The sequence below is a fragment of the Homo sapiens genome (genome assembly GCF_000001405.40).
Source record: "Homo sapiens chromosome 16 unlocalized genomic scaffold, GRCh38.p14 Primary Assembly HSCHR16_RANDOM_CTG1".
Classification (NCBI taxonomy): Eukaryota; Metazoa; Chordata; class Mammalia; order Primates; family Hominidae; genus Homo; species Homo sapiens.
This window is the reverse complement of record NT_187383.1, coordinates 962436-975080: the sequence shown is the minus strand read 5'-3', so window position 1 is coordinate 975080 and position 12645 is coordinate 962436.

Sequence of the window (12645 nt, the reverse complement as noted above, 5' to 3'; positions counted from 1 at the left end):
TGTGGTATGTAAAAGGGTCATTTCACAGGTGGTGAAAGCCATTTGAAATTTCACTACCTTCCCCAAATTACAATCATATGTCAACTTAGAATTAATAAAAATATTTAAATTCATTAGTCACAAAGATGTCTTAAGTGCATGCTATATTCCAAGTCCTGTACGAGGTCTTTAGGATTATAAGAAGGTGTAAGACTCAATTTTTGTCCTCATAATGCTTATTACTTAACCAAGAATATAATATATTAATTAACTCATTCATTTGTATGTTTATTCATTACATTTTATTACACTTAAAAAATACCATAGATTTCAGCCATGCGAATACCCTTGTTTGCCTGACAGAATAGTGAAATATAAACACAACTGAACCGTTAAAATACAACATTATGAAAGTAGCTGGAAGGAACTGCACGTGCCAAGTGTGAGGAAAAATAAGACAAGTAGTAGATATTCTGGATATAGAGAAGTCCATTTGGACTCAGACACTAGGGAAAAACTAAAGGAGAAGTTATAACTTGAGGTAGCCTTGGATGTATTGAGGTAAGAAGAGGACATCTATGGTATGGTTAATGAGAACTTCAGGGCAAACGATGTCATCCTAGCAAGGAAAACGGCAAAGGTACGTGAACAAGGCAGACAGGGAGAACGGACCTCTATTTACAAAGCAGAGAGTACAAACGGTGGAAAGCAATGGATAGAGGGTCACATCCTGAAGATTCCACCGTGAATGTTGAAGACTCTCCACTGAGTGGTATAATGGGCTCTGGAGATTCGTAAGGGGGAAGTTGGCAGGCGGGTGAGGGATTAAAAAAGCTACATGTTTGGTACAATGTACACTACTCAGGTGACAGGTGCAATAAAATCTCAGACTTCACCACTATACAAATTATCCACGTTACCTAAACCACTTGTGTTCCAAAAGCTATTGAAATAAGACATTTAAAAAGTTAAAACAAAACACTATCATCTGAGTAATTTGCTTACATTAAATATCGTAATACTTTTCAGCAAAAAAAATATTTTAATGTAACTTTCATTCCCTATATTTGAGCAGAGTACTGCACTATCCATAAACACCCTCTGAATTTTCTACAGTAATGGAAAAAATCTTTGAAAAACATAAAAGAAGGTTCTATGTTTGAGAATATGGCTATATGAAAGGGGTTTCAAGAAATATCCAGTTCTTCCCAAGACGATGTACTTCCAGTGACCAGTTTTAAGAAGTGGAACAGGCCGGCAGCCGTGGCTCACGCCCGTAATCCCAGCACTTTGGGAGGCCGAGGTGGGCAGGTCACGAGGTCAGGAGATCGAGACCATCCTGGCTAACATGGTGAAACCCCATCTCTACTAAAAATACAAAAACTTAGCCGGGCGTGGTGGCAGGCGCCTGTAGTCCCAGCTACTCGGGAGGCTGAGACAGGAGAATGGTGTGAACCCAGGAGGCGGAGCTTGCAGTGAGCCGAGATCGCGTCACTGCACTCCAGCCTGGGTGACAGAGTGAGACTCTGTCTCAAAAGAAAAAAAGTGGATTGAACATTTCCTAACTAGGTCTTTCAAGTAATAATAAGTGATTAAACTTTTTGATAATCATAATATCAATTGGACATGATAAAAATAATATTAATAAATCTTTCGATTTAAAAAATGACTTTGAACCCACTTCTTTTTGTAGGCATGGGGGGAGCTTAGAGTTAACTATTCCAGTTTCCGTTAGGGATTTGGCAGTATACATCAATAACAAATAGTAGAAGGAAAATAATTATACCTGTGTCTCATATATATATATATATATATATATATATATATATATATACATACATATATATATAGAGAGAGAGAGAGAGAAACCATTTCTTAAATTATCTGTAGCACTGCTATGTTATTCTTTACTCTCCCAATACCCCAAGTAGATTAAGTAGATTGCATATGTGGCTCTTTTATTAATGTGTTGAATATTCATAATGATAATGAATAATATGAATAAATAAATTGATAAGTGCATAACTATGATTTAGGCATTGCTTTACTCTATCTGGAGATTTCCATTCATAATAAACATCTTTTAGTGACCGTGAGTAAGAAACTCATAGAACTTCATTAGAGAAATGCAAATCTAAACCACAATGAGATACCATCTCACTCCAGTTAGAATGACAATCCTTAAAAAGTCAGGGAACAACAGATGCTGGAGAGGTTGTGGTAAAATAGGAATGCTTTTACACTGCTGGTGAGAGTGTAAATTAGTTCAACCATTGTATGGAAGACAGTGTGGCAATTCCTCAAGGATCTAGAACTAGAAATAGCATTTGACCCAGCAATCCCATTACTGGGCATATACCCAAAGGATTATAAATCATTCTACACATTCTCACGTATGTTTATTGTGGCACTATTCACAATAGCAAAGACTTGGAACCAACCCAAATGCCCATCAGTGATAGACTGGACTAAGAAAATGTGGCACATATACACCATGCAATACTATGCAGCCATAAAAAGGATGAGTTCATGTCCTTTGCAGGGACATGGATGAAGCTGGAAACCATCATTTTCAGCAAACTATCACAAGATCAGAAAATTAAAGGCTGCATGTTCTCACTCATAATTGGGAGTTGAACAATGAGAACACATGGACACAGGGAGGGGATCATCACACACTGGGGCCTGTGGGGGGTGGGGGGTGGGGGGTAGGGGAGGGATAACATTAGGAGAAATACCTAATGTAGGTGTCGGGTTGATGGGTGCAGCAAACCACCATGGCACGTGTATACCTATGTAACAAAACTGCAAGTTCTGCACATGTAACCCAGAGCTTAAAGTATAATTTAAATAAATAAATAATAAATAAATAAATAAACTCATAGACCTCAAAGTATGGGAAGCCTAACTGCCTATGGCCACTTGCTGCTTCACTCTAAAATCTGTTTCTGCATCTGCCCCTCAGTCAATGACTGAGGGCCACAAGGTGGCTAATGCACATCCCTCTTTAGGAGACACAGGGCTTCTCTGAGGACCAGTCTTGGCTCAGGATTCCTGAAGCCTTTTCGTACCCTTCCTTAGACTGCACATTACGCTCCAATGCTTCCACTCAACCTTCCTTTCCTCTTTCCTTCATTCTAGGTCAGACTTGCCTCATAGTTGAGAGCTCTTCCAGGCTTACTCAGCTTCCTCTCCATTTTCTCTCACAGGGATTTCCCTTAATAAAATCCTCTTGTGTATAACTCGTTTTCAACATCTACCTCTTGGAGGACCTGGACTAACCCACCATATAATATCTGTATTATAATTACTTCCATTCTACAGGTTGAGAATCTGGGATCTGGAGAAGTTAAGTAACATAAGTTACTCAAGTAAGGCCACACAGTGTATATAAAGTGTGCTGCAAGGAGTTAAACCCAGGGAAAGCGCACTCCAAAATAGAACCATCAATAAGTGTCAATCCTGAAACCAACTAATAAAAGGTAAAGATACAATTAGCTTGGTGCAAAAATGTTATTTTTTTCTCTAATTACATTTTCTAAGGCTTCACTGGTTGTAGTTAAGAAGGGATGAATGATTTTCATCAAAACTCTCCTCAACAAGCTGGGTTTGGTGGCATGCACCTGTAGTCCCAGCTACTCAGGAAGCAGAGGCAGGGGGATCATGTGAGCCCAGGAGATTAAGGCTGCAGTGAGCTGTGATTACATCTCATTGACCATGTGACTATGAGTATAAAACTCATAGACCTCAAGCCTGGGCAACAGAGCAAGACTCTGCCTTAAAAAGTAAAACTAAGCAAAACAAAACAATCCTCCTCAACAAATGGTTGCATATAACCAGCTAAACAGTAATATAACAGTTGTTGGCAGGGTGAGAAGAAACTAGCAGACTGTAGGTTTGTCATACTGTTTTTCTGTTCCTGCAGAAACACAGATATAATATAGGCAATGAAAACTGAGACTCATCTCTTAATTTCAGTTAAGCTATTAATTGATTTACATCATTTACTTACAGGCCAGAAAAGTTTCTTTCAAAAGGCAGGAATGTTGTTTCATGTTAATCTAAGGACTTGCTTACCTTTTGTTTCTGTTCTTAATGATCACAGTTACTAATACAGTAAAATAATATTTAGATAAAATACATTAGAATTATAGCTGATCAAAAATCTCATTCCAAGCTGTTATATTGTTGACTATCTCACAATCACTCTTCTTATGAATCATGTAAATAAGGGAAAATACTGCAAAGTAGACACACATTACTTCAAATGAAATATGATTTAATAAAATCAGTTATTCTTTGCCAATTTTGTAATGTTCAAAATAACCACAATTGAAATAGTGACACATACACATCAGAACAGTTCAAATGAAAAAGAGAAATGATACCAAGTGTTGGCAAAGATGTGGAGCAACTGGAACTCTCTCCCATTGTGGATGAAAATGTAAACTGACGGACACCACCATTTCCCATGTGTGCTAAATCTAACCATATTCTATGACCCTGAGCATATACGCAGCAATATTTACAAAAGACAAATACATGAATGCTCAGAGAAGCACCGTTCAAAATAACCACGAATTGAACATTATATTTGTATAATGGTATAGTATATAGCAATGAGAACTAACAAGTTACAACTATATGCAAAAAGATTGACAAATCTTATAAACTAAATATTGAATGAAAGAAGCAAGATACAGAACATATTCTATGATCTAATCCACTAAAAATTGTAAAACTAATCAGTTATGTTCCAAATTACCATAGGAGCTACCCTATGAAATAGTGTCTAGAAGAAGTAATAATATAAAATTTCATGATTTGAGTACTGGATACGCAGAAGGGCTAAGTTTGTTTAAAAACAAAAAAAGTATTGGGCTGTACAGTTAAGATTTGGGTATTTTACTGTTTGCACATATTTTCAGCCTTAGAAAATTATGTTAAAAAGTCTTTATGCTCTTTTTCTTAATATATTTACCATAGACAAATTTTCATTAAGCCACAGTATAAATAAAAAAGACCCACACCAGTATTTTTAACATGACGTGGATGAAGTGGTTCTGTCATCATTAAATGAGTACTTTCGGATCCAAGTCTGACATAAAAACTTACTTCCCTGAAGACTTTAATTTTGCATGCAAAATACACTGTTTCTAAATTAAATTTTTTTGTAACAAAGAGTTTTTGAGTTCCCCTCATGAAATTTTAATAAATCATTAATTTCTTCTTTTTCTCTTTAATGCACAAGCAATGGATAAAACATTTCAAAGATCCCTACAGATGTTTCTTCACTTGAAATATTGTTCACATTACAATGAGAAGGATGGAATAAAACATAAAAAAGATAGGCAGTTTTGTTTTGTTTTGTTTTGTTTTGTTTTTAAGATGGAGTCTTGCTCTGTCGCCCAGCCCGGAGTGCAGTGGCGCGATCTCGGCTCACTGCAAGCTCCGCCTCCCGGGTTCAAGCTATTCTCTTGCCTCAGCCTCCAAAATAGCTGGGACTACAGGCGTCTGCCACCACGCCCAGCTAAGTTTCTGTATTTTTAGTGGAGACGAGGTTTCACCGTGTTAGCCAGGATGATCTCGATCTTCTGACCTTGTGATCCGCCTGCCTTGGTCTCCCAAAGTGCTGGGATTACAGGCGTGAGCCACCGCGCCCAGCCAACAGGCAAATTTTTCGTTGGGGAAGTAGTAGACCAACCATCTGTGCTTATTTCTTCTAAACAGAGCTAAGAATGAGTGACAGCAGTTGAACGGGAATACTTGCTCCCCAAGCGCGACTTGTTTTTCATGAACAAGGAAAAAAGGCAAAAGCCCTGCTACATTTCCATTCACAAAATTGTTTTCAAATGATGATTAACAAGATCTTAGTTCCCTCTCTGTTGAACACATAACATATTAAAAGGCAGTGCTAATAAATCTATATACGGCACGTAAGGAGGAAGGAGGAAGTCATTTCTCCTGACCTGACCAACTTGTCTTATTTGAAACTGATACCAGGCCCTATTGGCTGACAGGAATTTCACTTTATTTGGAATACAACAGAATTTGGCTCAGATTCACACTAAAAGTATAGTATTTTGATGTCATTAACATTACTTTAATAAAGGTATTATCATGCTTTGTACAGCAACCAACACGAAAATGTTAACATACCACTGCAATAAATAGAATAAAAACATGTTCAGAAAGACTTAGAAACTCATTAAAGAATGGATATTAATCACTTTTCACCCTAACTCCTCATTTGGCGAGGTATGAATCTATGCATTCCAGTTTAGTCAGGTGGCAAGTAAGTAGTCCCATTGCATTTCATAAAATAAGCTGCTGTGTGAATTTGAAAGATAATATTTCCACATGAAAAACTAATGACTGCACATGTAAAATCAGTAGTGTTTAGGAAGCTGTCATTAAAAAAAAAAAAAAAAAACTACCTAATTAAAAAGTAGCACAAATGAACTTTTGCCTATGTAAAAAAATAGAACATTGCTTAGCCTTTTCTTAAATCTCTCCCCAATTCTTACCAAGAAAGGATAAATACCTTTATTATAGTCAAAGCTCTGTTTTTATGGTTTTAAATTTTTTAATCTAAAATTCAAAGCAAATAATAAATCCTTAATTTATAATTATCCCAATTGGATTCAAAGTGATGGTCCAAACATAAAATGATCAATCATAACTATAATCAATCAGATAATGCTATATGAGTTTGAAATGTTAATCTAACTTGCCTTTTCCAGGTATGCATTTTAAAATTAAACTCTTCTCAGTAAGATCAACGCTATCCTTCATGGATTTATGATGTTTGATAATCACCACGTTGTACTGATTTGCTGTCTCACTTCACTGTTTGATATCAACATATGAAAGTAAAAATGCTATTGAGGGGATAACTATTATCTGAGCACTAATAAATTAAATGCTATTTTAAGCCAACAACAAAATTGTGTAGGGTACAATTTTTATTTAACCAACTTTCCATTATAAACATTATAAAATTCTGAAAGATCCTAGAATCTTATATAGCTATTTTGTATTTTTTTAAATGTAATTGACACCAGCAAGAATTAAATTTCATATTTAAAAAGCTTCTGACTACATTACAACATACTTAAAAATGACTTGCAAGATATGATAATTCTAAGATTACCAACATATCATGCAAATGAAACACCCAGGTACTTCCTACCAACACATGATATAATAAAATCCAGAAGAACTTCTGAATTAGAGTGTAGTAGTTGCCTAGGACCATCATACCTAATTATCACACACTTGGTGGGTTAAGAGGACAGAAATATATTCTCTCATAGTTCTGAAGCCTGGACCTCTGAAACTAAGATGTTGGTGGGGCCATACTCCCTCTGAAGACCCTAGGGAGGAATTCTCCCTCGCTTCTTCCTGGCTTCCAGTGGCTCCTGGCAATCCTTGGCCTTCTTTGATTTATGACTGCATAACTCCAATTTCTGTCTCCATCTTCACATGACCTTCTCTGCGTGTGTCTTTTCTTGTATCTTATAAGGACATTTACATTGGATTTAGGGCCCACCTTCATCCAGGATGACCTCATCTCAATCATTGGGTTAATTATATCTGCAAAGACCCTACTTCCAAATAAAGTCGCATTCTAAAGTTACTAGTGGACATAAATTTTGGAGGTACGGTATTTAAATCACTACACAGAACATGTAAAGACAAAAATCTGGAAGCTACCTAAATGAAAATGGATATTCCCTTGAACTTCAACAAAATCATACTCTATTTTTCCGTGAGAAACATTCTATTACTATAAAACAATATTCATATTTCACAAGTACACCTCTTAAATTATAGCTTGGCCTTAAGAGAAATAATTAGCTTTGAAAATTATCAGTACGTGATATCTAGTATTTCCTGTATTTTTGATAACTTCTACCTCCTAGCAAAAATAAACAATGCAATGGACAATTTCTGTGTTCTAAATTCACACACACAAACAGGAAAGGCACTTTAAAAAATGATTTGTTCTCTTTGAAAGCAGAAGTCCAACCACCTGCTCTGAATCTAAAAGTTTCCTGAAAGCAATGAAGGGCTAGTTTATTATGAAGTTGTTGATAGCTGATTCTGTGGAGACTCACAAAGAAACAAAGAATAAATTTTAATCACACTGAATGCTAATGTGATAGTAAGGTTGTGATGATATTCAAATATGACTAATTTCATTAAATTAACTACACTCAGGCTTAGCTTTGTTGTCCAAATTTATTACAAATAGCTCAAAATAAATAATTCAACTCTTCTGTTTCTATTTATTTTTGTTGATCCTTAAGAGTAAAAAGGTATTTCAACTGAATTTTTTTTTTTTTAGAAATCAGTTCTCTTGTTTTATCACCATAAGACTGTAAACGGCCGAACAGGTCACTGCCTTCAACAAGAAATGCACCTAGAGCAGGAATATAGTACTTGGCACTCATCTCTAGACCTATAACCTAATAGATTTTTTTTTTTTGTCTTTGGTGACAGTAACGTAAATTTAGAGCTGGAAAGGACCTTAGAGGTCATCTAGTCCCACTCAAGTATCTTTTAAAACAAAATAAAGAAGTATGTTGGCCTGGTGCGGTGGCTCACACCTGTAATCCCAGCACTTTGGGAGGCCAAGGCAGGCAGATCACAAGGTCAGGAGATCGAGACCATCCTGGATAACACGGTGAAACCCCCTCTCTACTAAAAATACAAAAAATTAGCCGGACATGGTGGCAGGTGCCTGTAGTCCCAGCTACTCAGGAGGCTGAGGCAGGAGAATGGAGTGAACCCGGGAGGTGGAGCTTGCAGTGAGCCGAGATCCTGCCACTGCACTCCAGTCTGGGCAACAGAGGGAGACTCCGTCTTAAAAAAAAAGAAAAAAAAAAAAAGAAGCATGTTTATTTCATCATTTTGTACTTATACACTGTGTGTTTCCAGAAAAGCCTCTGAGACAGCTTAGAATGAAAGGCACAGACGCTATAAAACAAGGGCAAAATGACAGAATAATGAAGAGAAGGAGGTGACAATTACATGGGACAACCTAGGGAAGGAAACACTACCCTTCAGCCTAAAATTTAGTCCTAAGCCTCTTGTTCTTTAGGGCCAAAAGGAAAACCAGAATTCAAATAGGTGTCGTTAGTTAATAAAATAGTATCTGCATATGTCAGCAGCTATTTTTTGGTAACTCTAAACTCTTAAGCAAAATATATAAGTCTTTAAGCAACAGACAATGGACAATACAATAAAAATAATCTTCAATAGTAATTTCAAAACTTTTAAAGATGTAAGTACAAATGACCTTTTCTTACAGGATGCTTTTGAAAGCTGCCCGCATGATGGTATTTTAAATTACATGATGTTACATTGCCTCCATGATGGTATTTTATTGGGACCTGGTTATATGACTTGGTGAAGAATGTAACCTTTGAGAACTTAGAAGAGTGAATGGTTAATATTTCTCTGAATTTTTTTGTTTTTAATTGACATTTTATTTTATCCCTCATAGACAATATATGTTCTGGGAAATATACTGAAGTATAGTAAAAAAGAATCTCAGGGTTAAAGTGTTGAGGTAAATGAGAAAGCAGAGGTTGTGTCTGAAGAACCGTGTGGTCGCACTGCACCACACAGCAAACAAATATGCGTGAGCACAGGCCGGGCGCGGTGGCTCACGCCTGTAATCCCAGCACTTTGGGAGGCCGAGGAGGGCGGATCACGAGGTCAGGAGATCCAGACCATCCTGGCCAACAATGGTGAAACCCCGTCTCTGTTAAAAATACAAAAAATTAGCCAGGCGCAGTGGCGGGCGCCTGTAGTCCCAGCTACCGCAGGAGGGAGGCTGCCGCAGGAGAATGGCGTGAACCCGGGAGGCGGAGCTTGCAGCGAGCCGAGATAGTGCCACTGCACTGTACTCAGGCCTGGGCGAAAGAGCGAGACTCTGTCTCGAAAAAAAAAAAAAAAAAAAATGAGTGAGCACTTTACCAGCAAATAAACACCAATGAGAGAGGGAACAGCAGTCACAAGATGTGTTTTAACAGAGATAGTTAATTAAATATTTTCTAATACACTTATTGAACCTAGATTTAATGGAATTTTTTTCCTTTCCTGACTTTGGCAAATGTGTGTATTTTTATAGAGAACATGGTTTTACATATGCAATTTTCAGACTTTAAGTCAGGCCCATCACCAACGCTCTATGAGTTGAGTGGCCTTGATATGTGGTCCATGTATTTTTGAATCAGGGGTGGGAGGCTATCAAATGAGTCAAAAGCTGATTTTCCTAGCTTTCATTATGAACACCTCTCTGGCTGCTCTTCTTTTTGACTTTACCAAACAAATTAGTTAGTATTCCTAAATGCAAGGTATATTAACATAAGAACTAAATAAATTTTTAAAATAAACACACACACAGACACACACACACACACACAGCACTCTCCATATTTACTTCTACTTTGAATAGCAAACAAGCTGTGTTCCTGGGCCTGTGGAAGAAATATGAAGCTTGAAAAGATTTTTAAATAACTTTTTCTTAATGAAAATAACTCTGTAGTAATTACTGTTTTAAAAAGCCATTAGAATTTGAGCATAACACAGTTTCAATCTTGTCTCTATTCCAACTTAAAGTCCTGTCCAACAATCTCATTTTATGTTCTGTTGAATCACAAAATAAAAATTTGTATATTTTAAAGTATTTGATGGAGGAGGAGGAGGGAAGAAAGAAGAGGAGGAGGAGGAAGAGCATGCCAAATGCAGCTGGAGAAGGCCATGAAAAGAGAATTCTCACGCACATATGCCTGATAACAAGAACTATCACGAAAGACTGCAAAAACCACAATCTTGCCATTGCAACCTTGTAAAAAAACACTTCTGCAAGGACATATGTCCAGCAAATGCCTGTCCAACCTTGGACTGGCACCACCCTTGTTATTGATCCTTGTAATCAAGGATAACTATGTCAAAACAATTGTGTAATCCTCCACATTTTTTCTTTAAATACCTTTGTCTTCCTTTACCTCCCTGAATGCATACATAGTTGACTATGGCACATGTATTCCTACTGAAATACCCTATCCCCAACCCAGTGTTCTTTACAGAGTCTCTCTCTGTTCGTTATTTAGGTTGACACCTTGCACCTATTGATTGATAACATTTATTTTCCAGGATGCACTTATCATTGTTGTAATTAAGTATTAATTGTGCAATCATTTGCTTAATGCTCATAACTTCCTTCTTGACTGTACATTTGTTGAGGTCAAGTAGTATGTCTGTTTAAATCATTCCCTAGTTCCAGGGCTTGGCAAATTCCTTGGACCAGATGAGCTCAATACATATTTGTTATGTGAGTGAATATATGACTGATACTAAAGTAACTTAAAAAATAATTTATACCAATGATTTATCTCTCTCAGAGTTGGTCCTTATAAATGCTATATGAATCACTCCAAAACAGTACCGACTCTCGTAACAAATCCCATGAATGTGTAATTTCATTTTAATGCTGAATTGGCCCAATTTTAAACAGCATCTGGATGATCCTTTGTAATGGAGTCCCATCTAAGTTCCTATTAAAAAAGAAAGAAAAAAAAATCAGTAAAACAAAGCAAACAATGTAAACTTAAAACAACACTAATTAGTAAAACTGACACCCAATATGCAGACTAATCTAGAAGGAATTTTTACTAACTATAAGAACAATTAAGTTAAACTGGCCCATCCATATTTTGTTTTATGAAATGGAAGAATTTCCTCAATATAAAACTCATGTAAGACGGTAGTTGCCTCTTCCCAGCCTGTCCCTGAGTCAGACTCTCGGAGTGTCCCAGAAAATGGACACTTACTCCTTTACGGCTCCATTCTTACTTTTTGAGGGGACAGGTCCTAGCCACTCTCACATATCTTACATACTAAGCTCCTAGAAAGATAGAGGATACAATAAAAACCAACCAACCAACCAACCATGTGTCAGGTGCCTGTCAGGCCTGGGCACACAGTTCACTCAAGAAAAGCCCTGGGAGGGGAGGCAGCAGAATTGCCAGTCTAGCAATTTGTAACTCCAGTGGCCCAGGTCTTAGCCACATGACCTGGCTGGCATTGTTCTCTCCCTTCTTGCTTCCCTCCAAGCATGAACTCAGCCTCTTTTCTTTCCTTCCCTCCCTATGTTACATTGTTATTTCATACAATGGGATTTTAATAAGTTTGGGGAGCCAGTAGAGAGGGATTATAAAGCAAAACAGGAAACTACTGATAAGCAACTTGCATCATACCAACTGGCCATTGAAGATTATTTTTCGAGTAAAATACAGCCTTCCTTTAGAACCTCTACCCAGAAAGCAGTAACATCAATAATCTATAAAGTAGCACTCATTCTTGCCACCACCAGCACGCTGCATTATCCGTGCATGCTAGGTATTGTGTATGTCTTGTACGACAAGCCAAACAAAATACTAGAGGTCTCCACTTTAGCTTAGCTGAGCTATTCCAATAAATACTTGCTCACTACTGAGAGGAGCTGTGCATCCCCTGCAGATCAGAGAAAGGGCCTTAGCCAATTTCTCAAAGGTAGAAGAATCATTTAAAAAATGATCATTTCCTGTTAGATATTAATGATATGGTTTTGCTGTGTCCCTACCCAAATTTAATCTTGAATTGTAGTTCCCA